At 52.1% G+C, this 21,554-nt stretch overlaps 1 protein-coding gene across 28 annotated transcripts in view; it reads right to left on the minus strand.

Moving 5' to 3' along the window:
- The window catches only part of TNS1 (tensin 1), a 234,192-nt gene that overhangs the window by 41,108 nt on the left and 171,530 nt on the right, over positions 1-21,554 (minus strand). For 11 of the 28 annotated variants that reach the window (XM_047445637.1, XM_047445639.1, XM_047445638.1 and 8 more), the window contains 2 exons: positions 6,612-8,189; positions 301-387 (listed from right to left, as the gene is read on the minus strand). In XM_047445637.1, coding sequence (XP_047301593.1) covers positions 301-387; positions 6,612-8,189 — 1,665 coding nt within the window. Of the gene's footprint in view, positions 1-300; positions 388-6,611; positions 8,190-8,778; positions 9,291-17,593; positions 17,736-21,554 lie in introns of those variants that run through there. The other 17 variants (NM_001438865.1, NM_001438866.1, NM_001387777.1 and 14 more) reach the window with 6 other exon arrangements.

A 21,554-nucleotide genomic window follows, 5' to 3' on the forward strand; every position in this document is an offset into this window, starting at 1 on the left:
TGTTCATGCAGAAGTGAGCTCTGGCTCATGCAGACAGGAGGGAGAGAGGGCTGGAGAGAGGAGGGATGGAGAAGTAAGTGAGGAGACAGAAGAGAGGATAGTGAGAAATGGGGAAGGAGAAGGAGAAACAGATGGAAACCAGAGAACAACAGAAGAGGGAGAGGAAAAGACAGAGGAGAGAAGGAAGAAGGTGGGAAAGATTTGGAAGGAATAGCACATGAAGAAGGAGTGAAAAGAAACTGATGCTCAAAAGTGGGCCAAAGAGCTGGAAAGGGAGAAGGGGGAAGGAGAGCCACCCACCAGAGAGGGAGGAAGATTGGAGCCGGTGGAGAGGAGGGGGCGGGAAGCTGCCACTGTGTCCGATGCCCTGCAGCCTGGCGTTGTACGCTGCCCACCCCCCACCCCAGGGGAGCCAGCAGGGAGTGGGAGGCAGGAAGGAAGGGAGGATATGGGGCAAGGCAGGCACCCCACCAACAGCACAGGGAACAGATGGACATGGGAAACACAGAGAGTGCAGGGGACGGGGCATTAAACAGGACAAAACACAACAAAAACAAAGAGAAAATCAAGATTAGTTGGTGTTCTGACTCTGGTATCTGGGCACACACTGGAGGGAGGTGGGGAAGGTATCAGACAGGAAGAGAGGGGGATCCAAGGTCCTGCTTCTCCAAGAGGCAGATGGACCTCCTGCTGGCCAGCACCACAGCGTTTCCCTCTCTTCTAACCCCAGGGTGGAAGCAGAGGTGCCATCGTGGGACCAGGAGAATTCACGCATCCCTCACCTGCTCCCATAGGCAGCAGGCCTGTCCCTGGACCACCCATCTTTTCCTGGGCACCTGCCTCTCCCTGGACCCAGGTAACACACCCAGCCTGAGCCCAAGGGTCACCCTCTCTCACACCCTGGCTCCTTACCACAGCCATCTGAGTGATCCTCTTTCCTGGGGAACCCCTTGTGCTTTTCTGCTCTGGCCCCCAGCTTCTGGTCATCACCAGAAAAGTCCTTAAGATGAACCTTCTCAGATGCACTAGAAGGACCTGCTATGTTATCCTTTCCTTGCCCCTTGTTGACTTCTAACCCACCTTCACACCACAGGGGCCACAGGAGTGGCCAACATTGCCCCTGCCCTGGCCCCCAGAGTTCAAGCTATGTTACCTTTCCTCTCCTTCACAAGCTGCTCCATGCCAGTTCCTATGCTGGTTCCCTCCTCCTGTCTGTAGCCTTGGAATGTGGGAGGTTCCAGGACTCCATCCTTGGGACCTCTCCTTACCTGTCCTCAACCCCTCGGTGACATTGCCCAGTGCTATGCTTAATCTGGTATGTACACGTCAACAATTCCCATATCTCTAAGTTCCAGCCTCTTCTCCTTAAACTCCTGACTCATTTATCCAACCACTGCAGATGTTTCATGGTCATCTCAAACTTAATGTGTCCAAAAGTCATGTTTCTAGTGTTCCCCTGAAACTGCTCTTCATAAATTGTTACCCATCTCAATAAAGAGCAACTCCATTCTTTAGTTGCTCAGGCCCCAGACCTAAGCGTTGTCTCTGACTTTTCTCTTTCTCTCTCATTCCATGTGTAATCTATCAGTAATCTTGTTGGCTCTACCTCCAAAATATGTCTAAAATCCGAGCACTTCTCCCCTTTCCATGGCCACTGCCCAGATCAATAGCAGCAGCCACCTAACTGCTCTCCCTCCTTCCATCCTGCCCACCCTGGTCAATTCAGAACAAGTCAGATGATGTCACTCTTGGGCCCAAATCCTTCCTAAGGCTTCTCATGCCACACGGAGTAAAAGCCACCATTCTTACAATCACCTCAAAGACCCTCTGTAAGCTGTCCCTGTTCCCATTTCCTCTCTGAACTTGTGTCCTGCTATGCCTCCCTTGATCACTCTACTCCAGCCATGCCAGGCACACTCCTGCCTCGGGGCCTCTGCACTTGTTGCTCCATGGGGCTCATCTCTCGCTGCCCAGCCCTGATCATCCCATGTAAAGTGCAGCCAGCCACCCCCTACCTCTCACTGCTTTATCTCAATGGCACGTATCACCTATCTGACATATCCTATGTATATGTGCTTATTTGCTCAGTATCCATCTCTGCTGTAAGGGCAAGGATCTTTATTTGCCACCATTTTCACAAAGCCTAGACTGGCAAGCAGCACCCATTAGAAGTTCATGTTGAATCGAATGATTGAATGAGCCTTCAACTCATCTCCTATTTTCAGAACAAAATGTAAAAAAAAAAAAACACAAGAGTTTTCACTTCAAGCTCCCAAAGCTTGACATCAATATTTCCCTCTATCTTTATCTATCCTTTATTCTAATTTCATGAAGAGGTATCTCACCTCCTGGTTGAGCCTAATTTACCTACATGGGCTCCTAGGCCTGTCCCCTCTTACCTCCTTAGAGACCTTATTCTATCAACTTCTTTCTTTCTCTTCTTTTTCTCATCCTTCCTCCCCCCATGTCCAACCTACTCCCCTCCTCTTCTACATACAAACATTCTCATGACTCTTATATTTACAAAAAAGTTCCCAATCACTCACTATCCTCTTTAGCTACCACTCTCTCCTCTCTTATCACAAAACCACTGAAAAGAGTACTTGGCTTGCTGTCTTCACTCCTTCTCCACTCATCCTCAATCCCCCACAGTCTGGTTTCTGTCACCAACACGCACTAAAAATATGCCTTTGATGTTTTACACAGGGCTGCCTAATTTGCAAGCCCAGTGGATTTTTCTCAGTCCTCCTCATGATCTCTTCAGGCTGACACTGCTAATCTCCTGCCCTTCCTCCTTGAAACCCTTTACCATCTTGACTTCTATGATGACATGCTGTCCTGGTCTCCTGCCACCACCCGAACACTCACTCTCAGCCCCTTTACAGCCTCTACCTCCCTTCATGGCCATTCCATCCTAAGTTCTTTTCTCTCCAAGCCCTCTGACATTGAGATCTCACATACACCCAAAGCTTTAACCATCACCTTTGTGAGAATGATTCCAAAACCTGTAGCTCTTCCTTTTCTTTCACACTCAATTCCAAAGTTCAGCTGCCTTCCATATGTCTCTCCCTGGAGGCTCCACTCTCCCCTCAAACTCAACATGTCTAACACCAAGGCTTCATCTTCCACCCAACGTCCTCCTCCTGCCTTCCTGCTTGTTAACAGAACCATCATTCTATTTCTATTCATGGAGCTCAGAATCATTTTTGATGATCCTTCTCCCTCATCCGCTCCAGCCAATCAACACATAAGTGCATTGGTTCTACCCCCACAGTATCCACTGCATCATCTCTTCATTTGCATTCCTATGGTCAGCACCCTAATCCAGCCCCGCACCACTTAGGCTATCTAATAAGCTCCTATCATCTCCTGGCTCAAAGTCTCTCCCATTTATTGTCCTTCCTGCCCAGACCCACCAGACACATCATCCTGAACCTCAGCTCTGGTCATGGCATGTTCCCCCCATGAAACCACAGGAATGGCTTCCTACATTGCTGCCAGGTAAGATGCAAGCTCCTTAGTCCGGTATTTAAGATCATCCAGAGACAGACCCCAGGCTACCTATCCCGACTGTCACTCACACAGACCATATGTTCTCAATCTACTTGCCATTCTCCAAACATTTTCTGTGCTCTCCTGTCTTCACTGTGAACCCTCTCTGCCCAGTGATCCCGTTTACTTTCAAAATCCTATTCCATCTTCCAAGGCTCAGTTTAAAACCACACTTAACACTGCCTTCCCCATCACTAGCTGACAGCAATCGCTTCACCTCTCTCCTGCAGAGCTTTCTCCTTATCTCTCTTATTACAAAAGACTATTTTAAAGTTCCAGTTCTTTTTTCCCCCTATTAAACTCTAGACTCCTTAAGGATAAGATCCATATCTGATTTCCAACATGTATTGAAATCTCCACCTCTAGAGACATCTGAGATCAGTCCAGCCACAGAATCAGGGACATAAGATAACTCAGTTGGACTCTCCAACTCTGACTCTTATTTCTTTTTCTTGTCTTATTGCACTGGCTAGGACATCCAATACAATGTTAGATGCAAGTGGTGATAACAGACATCCTTATTTTGTCCCTGGCTCTAATAGGAACGCTTCCAATGCTCCACAGGAAAGTGTGATGTATGCTATAAATTTCTGGTCCCTACCCTTTATCAAATTAGAAAACTGCCCCTACCTTCTCCTCTACAACTTAAGCTGGAATAAGGCACAAGGGTGATTGGATCAAAGTGGAATAAACCAGGGACTTGAGACTGAGGTATGGAGGACAGCCAATGGGGAAAAGGCAGACCTGGGGGAGGAAAGCCAGGAGAAACCAGATCAAGTTCATGGCCATGAAGAGGTTCTCCCACAGATCTGAGCTTCCTAGGTTACTCATGTCAAAGTGTATGTTCCAGCTTCTTACGGCAGAGATGTAGACAGAGCAGAAAGAAGTAGTGCTGAAATCTATCTTCCCTGCCTCCCAGACTTTTCCACACATTGATCTTGTCTGTCTGCCTTTATCTACACAGGCACTGCAGATACCCTGAAAGGCTACTAAGGAAGTTACTCATGCAGGACCTGCTGACATAAATTCTGTCATAATGACAGGGCTTGAACCAAAGAGGCAACTTCATAGACCTGGGAGCCAAATATAAGTGTCCCCTCTATACATTTCATCCCTTCTCTTGAGTCACTCCCAGTTGATGGAGGAAATGGCAACAGGGTTAGGGAATGGGAACATTGTGCCAACAGTATCCTTCCCTATCTATGACTTCATGGCAGCCAAAGCCTGAGAGGCTACAGAATATGGAAGTTGACAGTCAAGCCTTCGAAAGCTGGTAGGAGAGAAAGGGCTAAAAGGCAGTCCACTACAAGATGGGCATCCTCCCAGGGCCATTAGGGTTATGGCCTCCTCTTGAGCAAGCTCCAGGAGAGCTGCATGGAAGGGTTCTTGTAGGGGAGGAAATGTATTCTGCTCCCCCAGAGAGAAGGCTCCTGGATCCTGCCCCTCATTAGACTAGCGTGTCACTAATCTTTAGGCCACCACTCCAACCTTGCAAAATATTGGGAGAGGAATTAAATTCCCAGGGAATTCAGAAAGCCCCATCCCTCTCACCTCAAAAAAACCAAGAAGAAAAGGATCTCTGCTGACAAAGCCAGGGGGGTATCTTTATCTCAGGGGCCCAGATGTGGGAGAAGGCAGAAGTCAAAGCCCATATGGACCACCCATGGAGCGTTTCATCCGAGGTTAAGAACTGCCCATCCTTTGTTCCGATGCTCAGGTAAAAGGAATTGTTACTGCTAGGCCAGCTCTCTATGGGAGGTGAGGCTGATTGCCAATTTCCATGGTGTAAATACTCCTGCAATGGCCAATTTCAAGCTATTATACCAATAGTGGAGCTGGGGACTCTGCTCTGCTCTGAAGTATAGGAGCAGGGAGCCTGTGTCCCCACACCAGGTCCTGAGCCAGCTGGCCTGCCCCAAGCTGCTTCCCTAAACCCACGGTCCATCTCCAGGGAGGGTGTTTCCTTCCCTCCCTGCAGCTGGCATGGTGACTCAGCTTCCCCTAAATTTAGGAAAAGGGGTGGAGGACAGAGACAGCTGCCCAGGCTCCTCTCCTCCTCGCTGAGCTCCCACCACCCTGTCAGCTGAGGGGCTGGCACAAGGTCCACCCAAATCCACAGTCTCTGGTCCACCCCTGTCTGGGCTCCACCTCCAGAATAAAGTCACCCAACAGGTTTTCCTGCCAAGTTCAGCCACCCTTGTGGAATGGGCATAGGCTTAGACCAGTGGGAAGGGAACCTCGCAGCTGTCTCTCCCAACATGGCCCCAGACATGCTGTCATTTCTTGCCTTTGTCTCCCCAAAAGCTCTTCTGAGTGTCCCACTTTCCTCTCTCCCAAAAGAGAAGCCCACTCTCTGATAGGAAAAGGAGCTTTGTCTCTCAGCACCTACTTCCCATACAGGGCTGGTCCTCAGCAAAGACTAACAGGAAAACTGACTTAGAAGGGGAACCTTGGCCTCCCCGCCCCAGCAGATAGAGCCTAAGGGCTTGAGGATACCCTCTCGGACTCTTTCATGGCCTCTAGGAGCGGGACCTAAGAGGGAATTTGAGTCTACAAAGGCCTCCCTCCAGCCTTCTCCACGTCTCCCCCAAGGAACTAAAGTCTGAGGACAGACAGCACGACAGGCAATTGCAGAGTCTCCTCTGTGTCTAGAAAGTCTGTACTCCAACCCCAAAGTCACCACCTCCTGGAAGCTTTCCCTGACTGCCCTAGGTGGTAAGCTTTGCTTTCCCAGGCTCTGGGATCTTGGTCCCACCTCTGTCACCGTACACATTACTCTCTAATGAAATCATCTGTCTGTGTATCTGTCCGCTCACTAGACTGTAAATTTCTTGAGGGCAGGAATTGCTTGACATTGAACTTTGAAACTTGGTGTCTGGCTTGGTGCCTATCAGACAATGAATGCAGGAAGGGATAACTGGCTAGCATATAGGCTCCTGAGAGCCTCCTCCCACCAGTGAAAGCAACATCTGCTTAGGGGTCATGGCTGGACCTGCACCTCCCCCCAGCAAGACCAAATAAGGAAGGGGTAGAAGGAGTCAGGACTGAATACCTCTTACCTGCTACCCTGTGGGCCACCAGCCCTTCTAAATTCAATGGCTCCTCCTCTGGAGTCCGGGAGGGGTCTGAAGTCGCTTCCTTTGGTGAGAGCAGAGGCTGAGCAGTGAGGCCAGGGAGAGAGGCTGGGGGTTGCTGAGGCCCTGGAGGGCTGTGGGTGGTCGGAAGGAAGGCAGGCAAGGAGGAAGAGGCTGGGCTCTTTGAATGGAAATCCTGGTTAGGCCCAGCCAAACATGGCTGATAGTCATAAGGTGAGTAAGACCTGCCAGGAGGGACAGACTCCAGAGAGGCCCGTGGGGCTGGCTCAGGGGTTCCCAACGAATGCCCACTGGGGATATAGCCAGATCTGGACTGGGTCAGTGGATGGGACTGACGGGAGGATCCAGAGAGGGGCTGGGAGGAGAGTGGAGAAGCCCCTGGCCAGGCCCCGGGGACACTCTGGGACTTGTGTAGTGGGGCAGCAGCGGAGGCTGGCTCCAGGTCCAGCATCAGCATATTGAGTGTTTCGATGGACTGTTCAATCTCCTGCTGGGAGGCTGCTCGCGGGAACTCAGGGAGACTGGGGATGGGGGTCTCTGCCAATGGCTGAGGGCTGGGCCTGCTGGCTACAAGACTCTCCAAGTGGGCTCTTTCCTGCTGGCGTGGAGGTGGGCGAGGCTGCTGCTGCTGCTGCTGCTGCTGCTGCCACGAATTCAGTCCCCTTTGCACAGCCTCCCGGCTGCTTCCCCCTCGGACCGGAGCTGGGGGCAGCTGGGGTTCAGCTTCCGAAAAGGATTGAGAGCGGAACATACCGCTGGGGTCATGGGCATAGTGGGAGGTGGTCACTGGCTGTGGCCAGGCTGGGTGGGGCCCCTCCCTCTGGTAGCCAGCTAAACCCTCCTGTGCAGAGTAGGAGGGCCGCATGGGGGCCGTGTGGCCAGCATGGGCAGGCCCCGCCCGGCTGGCAGACTCGTAGGGGTAGCCTCCTCCATTGACCATAGGCTCCATGGGGTAGGACTTGTCCAGACCGTTGGTCAGTGGGGACAGGGCCTCTGGGTAGCCCCCCTCACTGGTGTTGGTGACCCCGTCCAGAGAAGAGAGTGTGCCCATGCTGCCCGCACTGTGACCATCCTGGTTTGGCAATTCATCGTCCAGGATGTCTGTCTCCCGCTCAGATGCTAACGCCCCACCATTGACATGAACCTGGGCTGGGACAACGTGGCGTCCAGAGGAGGGCACAGCCGAGCCCCCTGCTGGGCGGGACCTGAGGTGCTGGGTGTGGTACATGGCGCCTTGCTTCTCTCGCTCTAAGCCAAAGCCACTCAGCAGGCGGTCCAGCTCCCGCTTCTCCTGGGGACTCAAGGCAGCAGTGGCACTGGAGGCCCCGGGGACAGGCTCGTCGGTCTTGTCGGTCTTGGTGGAGGCTGTGGAGTTGCCCGAGTCGCTGCTCACAGAAAGCGTGTGTTCCACGTGGTTGGGGGTGGCCGACAGTGTAGGACGTGTGGCATTAACAGCCCCGGTGCTGCCGTGCAGGGAGTCTTTCTTCTTCACCTTAGCATACAGGCTCCCATCTAGTGGCCCCTGCGTGTGTCCCACCACCTCTGCAAGGGACAGAGCCGGAGGGGAGACAACAGACAACAGACATTAGCGGGAGGCAGGGGTATCATCCACTCTGCCAGAGAAAGAAGCTAAGAGCTCCCATGCCCTGCATCCTAAAACCTCCTCTCACCACCCTGAGGTGGGGAAAAGGGGAGCTGACAGAAAGACCTCTACCCCAGGCTTTGGGGCAGAGCCTCACCAACACTCAGCTTCAGGGCCGGGCAGTGGAGCCCAACACTGAGCAGGAAGTGCTGGGGGCAAATCGCTCCAGTCCCAAGCCTAGCTCTGGCATTTCACCAGCTTCCTGACCAGAGGCATGAATAACTCTCTGAGCCAGCCTCCTGGTCCATAAAATGGGGATAATAATAGAATCTGGTTGAACCATCTGAAATTGCCAATATTCATTAAATACACTGTGCTTTGAGTTTAAATGAGTTGACACATGACATGCTGAGACCAGTTCCTGGCACGTGATGGGAGTTCAACAGCTGGGAGCCCTAACCATCACCATTATGAGTATCATTAATTCCTGAATGACCATTTCCAAAGCATCCTCAGTCCCCTCCGCCACCCCATCTCAAAAAGTCTCACCCCTGCTTCGATGTCTGGAGTTCCCACTCTGGATTAGAGGCAGAATGCCAGGAGAGTAGCCATTGCCTTGAATGCCCATAGAGGTATCAGCATGGACGGCCAGTCGCCCCGAGGATAGCCTTTGCCCACGGAAGCAGGGGGAGAACCCAGGAGGGCAGTAGGGTGCAGCAAAGGGCCCCACCATGCCCAAGGTGGTGGTGGCAGGGAGGCTGAAGGCAGAGCTGGGACTCTCTAAGACAAGCTTGCCCTCAGCTAGATTTGTCTCCAGCTCAATGCAAAGGATGTGATAGAACCATTCAGAGATACAATGTCATTCATGCTGCCCACTGCCACATTTCCAGAGGCTCCTCCCAGCTCCTCCCCAGCACTGCCCACTCCTGATGGACCCCTACCCCTCCACCAGCAAGCTCAGCCCATACCACTCAAGACTCCAGGAAAGGGACGCGGGTCCTGGGAAGGTATGCCGGGCAGGATCACAGCAGGTCTGCAAAGACGAGCATCCTGATCCCACTGCTCTGAGCCAGCCCGGGGGCCCCTGAAGAACAGGCCAAGGTGGGGCTCAGCCAAGCCAACAGTCCCTGTGCCAGAGGGGACACGCTTTTCCTATGCTGGAGGATGGGGGGCATATAGGGTGCTGATGCAGGGGGTTCAGGGACTAGGGCAGGAGGGGAAGCGTCTTAGGGATCGTGAACACAAAAACAAGATGTCTTCATGGGGGAGAGGGTCCTCTTGTCTGCAGACAGCTCTGAGGACCCCCCTGAGCAACACTTTCTCTGGAAGGAAAAAGTGAGCGCTGGGTGGCTCGGGGCCAAAGGGCTGACTCAGGAATGAAGAACTTCCCCGCCCAGAGGAACTCAGTGATTTCACACCCTGTACAGTCAGCAGCCCAGCCACCAGCCCCGACAGACACACACACACACACACACACACACACACACACACACACACGCACGCACGCACCTCCCCTTACTCTAATCCAGGCTCTCCGTTAGCAAGGAAAAAAGCCAGCTCCCAAAGACTGCACCAGCTCCAGCCAGACACCAGCAGTCACACACCGAGCCAGACAAAAAGACAGTAAGAGATCACCCAAATCAGAAACACCCAGGCATGAGCACACACTAGGTGCCACACAATGCCAAGAACCACAGTCAGACAGCACCGGCATGAACATGTACACACAAATACCAACAACAGTGACCACCGTGCAGTGAGCACAGCGCAAACGCCAACACTTCGCCAGGCACTCTACACGCACATCCTCTCTAGCCATCGCCTCCGAGCCAGACAGTATTACACCCATCACAGTAAGGGAGAAACTGAGCCTCTGAGAGGGGAAACCATTTATGTGCCAACAATGCTACCTGATAAAGCCAAGATTTAAAATCAGAGCTAATTTCCTTCAAACAGTATGTAATTTTTATTATGCTACACCTCCCTCATATCACAAACACACACACACACACATACACACAAATTAGAATAAACACATAACAGGCAGGAATACCCCCAAATAAATACTTAAAGCCACAAATATTTCAGAAAATACAAATGTTCCTACCATGCCCAAGGATCAGCCCTTAGGCCAGAAGTGGCAGCCTCTAAAAATAAACACTCTGACAGAAGCCCATGGCCAAAAACAAGTGATCAGACAACCACAAAACAGGAACATCCCAATCAACATACACACACACAGACCACAGGCCAGCCATGTTACAACACAGAGAACTGGCACAAAGATGCTCCACCAGGCACTTGCATCCCTCTACACACACACACACACACACACACACACACACACCCCAGGGACTGGATGCCCTCCTCATTTACTGACCTCTCCAGATCCACCCCTCTGCCCCCAGTTTTCCCCAAGGCTTTGGGACCTCAGCCAACACCAGCCCCAGACAACACAGGACCAAAGTATTGCAGCAGCCCAGGGCCCAGGGCCCAGGGCTGGTCTGAACTGAAAAGGGGTTTTGGCTAAAATACATTCTGAATCTCCACCAACCTGGCCCTGTGCCTAGACCCCTAAAGGCTGCTAAGATGCAGGACCAGGCACAGCTGCCTCTTCCAACCCCCTATTATCATCGTAAAGGGGTCCTCTCCCTGTAGGATGAGGGAGGCTGACCTTCATGCCCACTCTCTCCAAAGAACTGAGCTCCTTGCTACACATAAAAGAAGAGACCTCAGCCTGGCATGGTGACTCATGCCTGTAATCCCAGCACTCTGGGAGGCTGAGGCAGGTGGATCACCTGAGGTCAGGAGTTGAAGACCAGCCTGGCCAAAATGGTGAAACCCCACCTCTACTAAAAATACAAAAAATTAGCCAGGCGTGGTAGCACATGCCTGTAATCCCAGCTACTCGGGAGGCTGAGGCAGAAGAATCACTTGAACCTGGGAGGCAGAGGTTGCAGTGAGCCGAGATCGCACCATTGCACTCCAGCCTGGGTGACAGAGCAAGACTCCATCTCAAAAAAAAAGAAGAGACCCCAGCCGCCTGTTTCTAGGGGGCAAAGCACTGAAGACAGGAGCCTCTGATGCACTCATAGCTCTGGGGTGGTTCTCTTGAGGATGGGGCCCCTTGGACAAGTTGGCCGAAATCTGAAGAGCTGGCTTTCCTTCTCACTGTCCCTAGAAAGCTGCAGGCCCCCTCCTGAGCCAGGGCACCCCCTCTGCCACCTACACTGTGAGGTGCCAGAATTTCCCTCCTGGGCCAGTGATCCCCTCCATCCTTTGTGCCTCCTCATCCCCCACGTTCATGCTCATGTGGTCTGAGAAGTGGGGAGCTGCAAAGCAAAGGCTGGTGTGTCCAGTGGCTTCCCCACTTAGACATGTTCCACAGTGAGAGCCATGGGGGCAAATTCAAATCAGAAAGCACATAGGCCCCTGCAGCATCTCAGTCATGACTAACAGAAAAACTATGAAGGCATCCCCCAGGCAGGAGAGAGAATTGACTACCTGATATCTCAGCCCTTCCTTGCCCCTGTGGCCAAGCCCCACTCAGCATCGATTTTGAAAATGTCAATGTTAAACTTGTTCTGTCATGTAATCTATCCCCAAGTGGGCTCCTGTTTGCAGCAACAACATCAGGAACAATCATAGCCAAGCCACTAAGGCATAGTAAGAAAATCGAACAGATGCAAATTGTTTAATTAACTCCTGTTCGCTAACTACAAATGGAAATGTCTCTTGGCCCCAGATTGCACCCTCCAGGCCACTCAGCACCTTTGCTGAGTTGTCCTCTTCCTATCCAAGGGAGGTTTTGAGAATACCCAGGCTGATCCCAGGCCTGTCCAGCCCTGATGAGGACTCTGCTGAAACCCCAGCATAGCAGCAGGATCTGTGGAGCACGTGCCCCTCCTCCTCCCACCAGAGACAAGACAAAAGTCCCCCAGCCCCCACTCCGGCACACACACTCTCATCATTCCCTTCTCACCATCCACCACGGCCACATTAGAGCTTTTTACCGGGACCACAAGAAGCCGGAACACAATGTTGGTTTCAATCCATCAAGGCAGGAAGGGCAAAAGAGAGACGGGGGCAGAGAGGACAGGAGTGAAATAAGGTAGAGGAGGATAAGAGAGGGACTTAAGGGAGGCTGGGGAGGTGGCTTTACAGCTCTTAATCTGAGGGGTCTCCAGAGCCATCCTCTTGAAGTCCCAGCAGCCACAAAGGGAGTGATCAGTTCAGGGGAATGCATCTCAGATGAGAGGAGGCTGGACATCCAGAACAATGGGGCATGGGCTAGAGGGAGGGGTCTGCATGTTTGGGGGCTGTGGGCATTGTCACGGGTGACAATGGAGTGGGATAAACTGAAGCAGAAACACAAGCTGCAGGCAGCCCCAAGTGGAGAGCTCCAGGCCCCAAGCCCAGCCAGCCTGGACATCTGCTCTTGTGGGCTGAAAGGTCCAGTGTCCTGCCCATTCCTCTTGGTGGTTGCAAAACCCAAAATCTCTCCATGGCCCCACTGTCTTTGTCTGAGGATGTCTCCCTGCTCTTCTCAGCAGCTGCAGAGAGTTCCAGACTCCACCCTCGATGCTGAGCTTGATTGCACCACGGGGCCTTTATTCCAGGGCAGCCATAATCCAGATGCACGAGTCATGCTTTTGGAAAGCTCTGAGGAAAATCCCCAGCTGACTAGGGTGTGCACCCACTCCCCGGGGCTCCCTCCCAGAAAAGGGTGCAGAGGTGTGTGCGGCACTAGCCATGCAGCTCAGGCTGGGATGCAGGAAAGTAAGGATGCAGCCATCTCACACACTTAAAAAAGAACGAAGGAAACAAATAGGGGATGTTAAAGTCACACGGTTTCAGGGCAGCTGTTTTCTAATTCTGATGTTCACAAGAACCTCCTCTGGAGATTGTTAAAAATCTAGATTTCAGGACCCTATCCCCAGGGACTTCCACTCAGAGGCCTGGGGTGGGGCCAGGAATCTGCATTTTTGCCAGCTCTCCAGGGGTCCTGGCACACACATGGCTGGAGGACATCTAGAGAAACCCGCCCCAGCTGATCAGCACTTTGGGCTCTGAGATCAAGAAACCCCACTTCTCTTCCTCATGAAAAGTAGGGAGGTTTTGCTTATTTAGATGTTAGGACAGACGGCCCAACCATGAAGAATAAAAGGTGCCAGCCATATTGACTGCAAGAAAGGAGTCACCTTCATTGGCAATGACTCAGTGAAGACAGACCCTTCCCTGTCGGACCAGCAGGTAGGTTTTGAATAGCGAATGAGTTACTAAGGTTTTCAGGATGAGTCCCTTCATGATAAAAAGTCCTTTGGGTCCAAGTCCAGCAAATAACAATTCATTAAAATGCATTACCCAGAGCCGTGATGACCACCCAACGTGGGGGAAAATCAGTGCCATGACAATAGGAAGAAGCACCGTGCCTACCCCAGACATAGGCTGTTTGGAGGCAGACTGGGCAAAACTCCTTAAAAGGAGGAGTGGGGAATCCAAGGCCACGTGCATCTGAGAGGTAGGTGAGCTTTGATGAGAAGTGAAGCTTGGCCAAGAGCCTGCCCAGAGAGCAAGTTCTGGTTGCATTTTCCCTTATCCACACACTCTGCCCCAGCCATGGGAAGAGGCAGGAGAGGCTATGGCTGGGGCAGGCACCAGGACAGGAGGGAGGGCTGGGTCCAGGAAGGCCACAAGGGATGGCTCTGGAGAGGAGACAGGGAAGTGCGCCTTCCCACCCCACCTCGGCAGCCAGACACACCAGCACTCAGAAACATAGCTGCCATCTTAATGGCCATATCAGCTTGCATTGACCACTTACCCACTCAGAGCCCGGCCTGCAGGCCTGTCAGGTGAGGATTCGAGAGTGTGTGTGCAGCTTTGCTGAGTGATAGCACTCAGGAGCTAAGGCTCTTAAGCTAGACCTGGCATATCCAAGCACTCTCTACTTTTCCTCTCTCCATCCCCTGCTTTACATTTCAACAGCTCTCATCACCCACAGGGTAAAGCCCAACCCCCACGCTGGAAATGTCAGACCTTTTCCCAACAGGCCTCTGCCTACCTTCTGAAGCCTCACTTCCTTGTCCTCCATACCCAGAACACCCTCCACTCTACTCCTACTCAACTCTTCATATGCTCTTTCCCCTCTGTGCATGCTGTTCCTTCCGTGCAATGCCCTTCCTCATCCTGCCCGTGAAACTCCCAACCTCCTGGGCAAATGCTTTCAGACTCAGTTCAAACTTCCCTGGGAAATTTCCCTTAATCTAACTTCTTCCCTACTGTCCTCCAGACTCAGGTAAACCTCTACGGTGCTCCTGTTGTCCCTTGTAGACATCTCTACTGTGACAACAGTCACCCACAGAATGGTCATTACTGATGTCCATGTCTGTCTTCCCACTTTGCTGAGAGCTTGTTGAGGAAGAGCCTTTATCTCTCTCTCTCTCTCTCTCTCTCCCTCTCCCTAGGGCCGGTTCCCAGACGGTGCCATCCACAATGTGGTCTGTGTGAATGATGCCTCTTGAAGTTCAATATGTAACCTGCATGGCTGTACAGAATGGCCCTAGAGAAGAGTGCTTGTTCCATAAATGCTTCTTGCCTTACACCGAGTAGCCGAGAAAGCTTTATGTAGTTCTGTCAGCCATTGAGATACTCTTCTTTCACCACCACCCAGTGAAAAATCAGGGGTTCTAGGTGGACCCCGAGTTTCTCCCCAAAGGTGAGGGAAGAGAGTCAGTGCAGCCGAAACATGAAGACATGTATTCCTCATATTCTGCAGCAAAGGCTGAGCATGGTGGAGGTCCCTGAGCCAGAGCCTACCCCATGGCATCCCCTACAGACCTCTCCAGCTACACTCCAGCCCAGTGGACATTAACTTCCCTAGACCCAGGACCCCTGGGAGATCTGGTGAAATAAGGGAGTTGATGAACACCCCAAAAACCATCTGTGGATCCCAAGATACAACATATGCATCGAAAAGTTAGGGTGCTGTCTCTGGGGATCCTCTCTGTCACCCATGACTTGCATGGAGAATGCCAGGCTCCATCCAGGGGAAATGGGGCGGCACACTGAGTGGAAGCTTTGCGGCTGCGGGAGCCTAAGAAGTGGCTCAGGGTGCTCCACTGGGTTTTAACCTGCCAGGGGAAGTGATGTGAGGAAGGCATGAGGGTACAGAGGGCCCCGTGGAGAACCCCAGCATGTGGCTCCAGGAAGACCCCGACCTCCTGAAACATCCTGGCATTGGTGGCAGGGACTTCCTGGGGCTCAGTCTGTGACAGTCTTGGCCTCCACCCATGCCAGCTTCCCTTCCCACAGACAGCTGGGGATTGAGGCAGCCCTTTGTTCCCCACAGCCTGCAGCGAGCTCTGGAACTTTCTCAAGGGGAATGGGCTTCTGCAGGGGCTCTGAAGATCTGCAGAATTAGAGGTTGAAGAGAAATCCCGGAACCTCTGAAGGAGAGCCACACAGAGGAGACACAGCCTCTGAAACAGCAAAGAGGGCAGGTGCCAAGTGCAGCCCAGGAGACTTAGGTGCACGTTGGGAACACGTAAAAAGATTTTTTGGTAAAAAAAATTACCAAAGATTTTTTGGTAAAAATAGCTCCAGAGCCCACAACAAGCACAGGGCCTTGGAACCCTGTGGGCAGGGACAGACCAGTCCATGAGTGACAAATAGACACCTGTTTTTCTTTCCATTTAATAGCACACACCTTCAGAAAGTGAACAGGAGAGAACAAGATTTTTCTCAGGGCTGTGCTGTCAGTCTTGTCGCAGGTGGCTTTGTCCTCTAAGCAAGTGACCTCACCAGTGTCACCTACAAGCTTGCCTCTGGACCCAGGGAGGGTGGACCAGCTGGGCTTCTCCTGGCCACCTTCCCATTCTGCTGAGTCCAAGAAAAAAAGAGGGAGGCTCAAGGTCCAAGACCCACACGGAGCCCAAATCTCAATGTCAGCCTGTGGCCTTGAAGATGGAGAAAGTCAGCTTCAGAATGAAATAAAAAATAGAGCCCCTCCCACCCACGGCTGCCTCTGCTGCTCCAGGCCCTCTGGGGGACAGCAGAACTGGGATCTCCAGGGCCCGGGAGGTTGGCTCAGCCAAGAGAGCTTTTTAAAAGCCCTGGGGCTTTTAGAGCTGAAGGGCCTTAGGGGAGTAGTTAATCCCCCTGCCCACCCCTCACTTTATAGGCTGACAATGAAGCTCAGCAGGCTCAGGACCACCCAAGGTCACCCGGCAAGGAAGTACAAAACCAACTCCTGGCTCCCTATTCAGTGCTCTTGTCCCTAATGCTGCTTCAAGGTGAAGATGGCTGGGGCTGGAGGCATTGGAAGGTGGACTCTCCAACTATGTCTGTGGACCCAGAACCACAGGACAACATAATATATGGTGCTTCTGTCAAGCGATGATGATAAATGTGTCCCCGGACCCTCCTTAGGAAGGACCCGTGGCAATTGTCCCAGGTATCTTCTTACTTGAATTCATACCATGCCCTCCATAAAAAGGGAGTAGGAGCAGAAAACCTGATCGTGACCTTGACTTCAGTCCCGAGAGACCAGGGGCCTGGAGGGCAAGTGATCTGCCCTGCCCTGGATGGCCCACGCCTGCAGGGCAAATGTGAATTCTCAGACCCAGCCTCCTGACTCCGGCCTGGCCTGTGTTCCCCCCAGCCTGAAGCTATAACCCGAGCCTGGCACTCCCACCCCTACCCTCAGCCTATACGGGCAGCAGATATCACAGGCACACTCAGGATGGTAAAAATAGCTCCAGAGCCCACAACAAGCTGAAGTCCTTCTCTGCCAGGCCAGGGTGCCAGCCTGGGCACTCAGAGATCCCTGGCTAGAGGAGAGTCAAGCTGCCAAAATCTCTGCCAAAGTCAGGAGAAAGCCGTGAATGGGAGCCCACAGGAGGCCGGTGGGGAATGGTGAGCACTGGAGGTGCCCCAAAGCTCAGGCCAAAGATGCAGGGAGGGGGCGTCCTGAATAACATCTCACCAGAGCTATCCATGCATCCACCTCATTCCCTCTGCCAACCCCATTCGCGCACAAGACGAACCGTTACCCCCACAAGACTTAGGACAACTCAGACACACGGCCCCCCCACCAACCCAGATACCCTCGCCCTGAAAGCTATGGCTCTTACGTGTCCCAGAAGCAAGTCCAGGAAGGGGACCACCAGGCCCGTCACATCCACATCAGACAGCAGCACAGCGGGCCACAGCCCCACTCAGCCACAAGCCCTTCCAAGGTGGGGTCGTGACAGAGCCTGCCCCTCCACACCCTCCCAGCACAGAAGCACGAGCACCCCAGCCCAGATCCAGCAGAAAGCCACACAAGAACACTCACAGGCAAAACAACTGCCCAGCAGACACTTACCCTCTGGAGGGAGGGAGGGAGAGGGAGGAAGCGGAGGGAAGCCCGCTCTGATTTGATCCTGGTGCCCCAAGTTCCCAATAATTCCTACATGGCTGCAGCTCCAAGTGCTGTCTGTGTCCTACTCAAGCTCCCTCCGACTGTCAGGGGTGGGAGGAGCCAGTGCCGCCTGCCTGCCCATGTACACACACACACACACACACACACACACACCCCACTCCCTCCCTCCCTCCACTCTCCTGCACGCTCTCTCCCCAGCTCAGCTTGCTCTGCCTCACTCTGGCTTGTAGGAAGCCAGTGGGATAAAACTGTCTGTAATTTCAGCCAGCTGGGTCCCCAGGGCTTCACTTATCATCCTGCAGCTATGCCGTTCTTGAATGACATCACGGTGGCTTCCCAAGCCCTTCACTCCCACCGGCCGGGAGTCAGGAAAAGTGGCCAGCCCAGTCCAACTCCAGCCCCAACCCCAGCCCAGCCCCAGCCCCAGCCCCAGCCCCTGCTCAACTCTCACCCAGCACAGTCTAGCCCAGCCTGGTCCCAGCACAGCCCAGCCCAGCCCCACCGGGTCCCAGTCCAGCCCAGCCCAGTCCCAGTGTAGCCCAGCCCAGCCCCAGTCCCAAACCCATGGCAGCCCCAGTGCCCTGAAGAGAAGCAGGGAGAGAATCTGGGAGCAAAGTGAAACTGAGCCCCAAGCGGAAAGGCAGGGATGCAAGGGCCAGAGAGGGAGGGGAGAGAGGTCCTATGAGGGTATTGAGATTTATTTCCCCAAATTTTCCACATTTTTTTTCCATTCTCAGCAAATGGAAGGCAGAACAGATGACAACAATTTTCCAGCTGCTGAACAATAAGGTGGAAATCTTTTTTTCCCTCTCTCTCCCCCTTTCCCCTCCACAGGGCAGAGTCCAGGAGCCAGAACACTTCCTTGGCTTGGAAAAGGAAAAAGAAAAAACCCCACAGGGTCCTGCACTTCCCAGAGGTGAACACAGGACCTGAATAGAAGGACTGGGGTGTCACCCAGGCAGGGCTCCAGGAGGGGACAGGAGCCCCAACATGAAGTTCTCAGTGCAAAGCTTTGGATTCTGGCTTGGCAACTTGACATTTTGGAGGGCCTAACTTTGGGAAGGCCAGTGTGTGTCTGGCCAGGTATATTGATCCTCCAGGCCACCTGAGATGCTTCCAATTGACTGGCTATTGGTATTCTGTTTGTTCCCATCTGTGGAAATCATGAATAGCAGAGTATCACTTTTCAGAGTTCGCAATGCCTCACCCTCGTTCCCAACCACCCAGATCCGAGAGCCATGCAGCTGAAAGGCAGGTGAACGGCCCTCAAGTTCCCACCATTATCCTGATGTGCCCTGGAAAGTGCCAGGAGTCCCTAACTGATAATAAGACACCAAATCCCCACTCTTATTAACATGTTGTTTGTGACTTATTTGCATATCAATTGAATCTCCCAACCCAATTCTCAGAGTGGACAGGAGGTGATCTGGGCTTTGCGGCCAGGCCAGTGGGAGCTTCAGCGACTGGTGTCTCCATGCAGAGGGCCCCAGTTAGTTTGCAACCCCAAAATGCTTCCACAGACACAGGCTTGCCCTGAGCTATGGCTACCCCATCCTCGTGCCCAGACCTTCCCAGCTAAGTTTGGTACAGCGAGATTGGGAGGGAAAGCCCTGCCAGGCACAGCCCAACTACTCCCTGTGTTTCCCCTCAGACACCTGAGCCCTCAGCCCCTCGCCATTTTCAGCACCCCTCTCTGGCTGCTGTTCTTTGAGGGTAAAGAAAGAAAATAAGGGGAAGAACAAAAATGGTACCCAGTGCCCTGTACCCTGGCCACTGACCTATCTTCACTGATGAGATAAAATGGGACAGCTCGGTGTCACAGACTTCAAAGAGACCACTAAAAATAAGGAGACCAGGGGAGGGGAAGCAGAGGGGTTCTATGCCTCAGGCTCCACCTGGGGAAGACCACAGTTTGGACAAACTATTGCAATTATCCTCCTACCTCCATAGAGTCTTCTAGAACTAACCAACAAACCTCGGGCTCTTGAAAGGTTTAAGGCACCCCAGTTCACCCACTTGTCCCCACCCCAACCAACCCACAACAGTATTAGCAGAGATTTTGTTTGCACGCAACCTTCATGTTTATTTGTCCATCTGAATATCATCTACATTATTATTTTGTAAGTTATAAAAATAAACTTCATTTAACTTAAACTAGTTCTAAGCACAATATCCATGATGTCCCAGATTGAATGTGCAAAATACATACCTTTTTTTCCAATACACATCAAAATAAATATACCTAATATCAGTTCATATATAATTAGCAGTCTGACCATACTTTGGAACCTGAACCTTACTTTGGAAAACACTACCACACAATAGTTCCTGCCAGTGGCAACCCCATCTGATGGTTCTCCACTATCATCCAGGGGGACTAGCTATACTAGAAAGCCCCCAGGGAGTTTTATAAGAACCCCGATCCCCTGGCTCCACACAGAGGCAAAACTGTCTGGAATGGGGCCTGGGACTTTGAATTTGAAAATGCTCCCCAGCTGCAAATAATAAGAGAGTCAGGTTTGGCAAAAACTGTTCCTAGCTGTACTCAAATTCTTCCAGGTACAGGGATTTTACTGTCTTCCTCCAAAAGCCCAGCTCATCTTTAGGGGGCCGTAACAGTGGATTTTAGCTCAACATAGGAAAAAACACCCTGGAGCCCTCTTTTCCACTAACTGGCCTTACAGTGCCCGATGGAGTGGGTCAGAACAAGCCAATCGCCCCCTCGCTAGAGCCCTTCAGATACTGAATGAGACGTGCCTGCCCTCCTGAATCTCCCCTTTGACAGGCAACCCCTCTCCCTGCAAGTCCCTGAGCCTGACATACTTTCTGGTTGCTTCTCTGCACTTGCTTCCAGTCGTTCTTTATCACTTTGAAGCAAGGGACCCACAAACAGCCCATGTGGGCGCTCTGACTTAAAAGAGGCACAACAGGCCTGTCACCTCCCATTTTCTGGAAACCATGCTTTTGTTAATGCAGCCTAAGATTATGCCTGGCCCTTCTCATTCTCATCACTTCAGCATCTGCCAGGTTAAGAACATGGACTTGGAAGTCAGACATTGGTTTGAATACAGATACTACCAACTACTAGCTTAAGGCAACCCTGAGCCAATTACTTGGCTGAGCTTCAGTTTCCTTATCTGTAAAATGGGTATACTAGTCATTGTATCTCAGTAAGTAGTGCAAAGACTGATATAACACATGAAAAGCTCTCAGCACAGTGTACAGAACACAGAAGTGCTCCAAAGGACAGAACACGAGTAGTGCAGCGTGGGCTTCCCCGTCTCCCTTCCCTAGCCCTGTGCCCCCTGAGCAGTACCTCTGTGACCCTATCTCACCAGCCCATATGTATCACACCCAGTGCTTAAGCTTCAGGACATACAATTTGGCCCACCCGATCTCTGCTCAAAAATCATGGCCTGGAATGGCCAGCATAGAGAAGAGGCTTCCAAAATGGTGCAGACTACAAGGATGTGATGCCATTCCATTAACAAATACTGAGCCTATCCCAACACTGATTACTGCCAATGGTGTGCCTGAAAATGCATTGCCACTTCCACCTGCAGAGATGAATTCAGCCTCAAGGACCACAAGGAGAGAAGGACGGGCACAACCTCAGCTGCATGCATAAATAGGAAAGGACTTCCTGGGGGCTTGGGCAGAGGGCAGGGCATGGCAAATCTGGTTCAAAAAAGAATACACTTCGTCTTACCATGTTTCTATTTGGGGGAAAAAAAAAGACAATTTTTTTTCTTAAAACAAACTACAGGAAATAGCAGGAGAAAAGTCTTTCCCAATAGTGGGTGGGTTAAACTAAGCTTGAAAGATGATGGTATTACTCTGTCTTCAGAGGCAGCCCAGTATCCCCTGTACCCCCTGAGGTGGCCCTGAGCAGGGCAGTTTCATA

This window comes from Homo sapiens, chromosome 2 (assembly GCF_000001405.40).
Source record: "Homo sapiens chromosome 2, GRCh38.p14 Primary Assembly".
Lineage (NCBI taxonomy): Eukaryota > Metazoa > Chordata > Mammalia > Primates > Hominidae > Homo > Homo sapiens.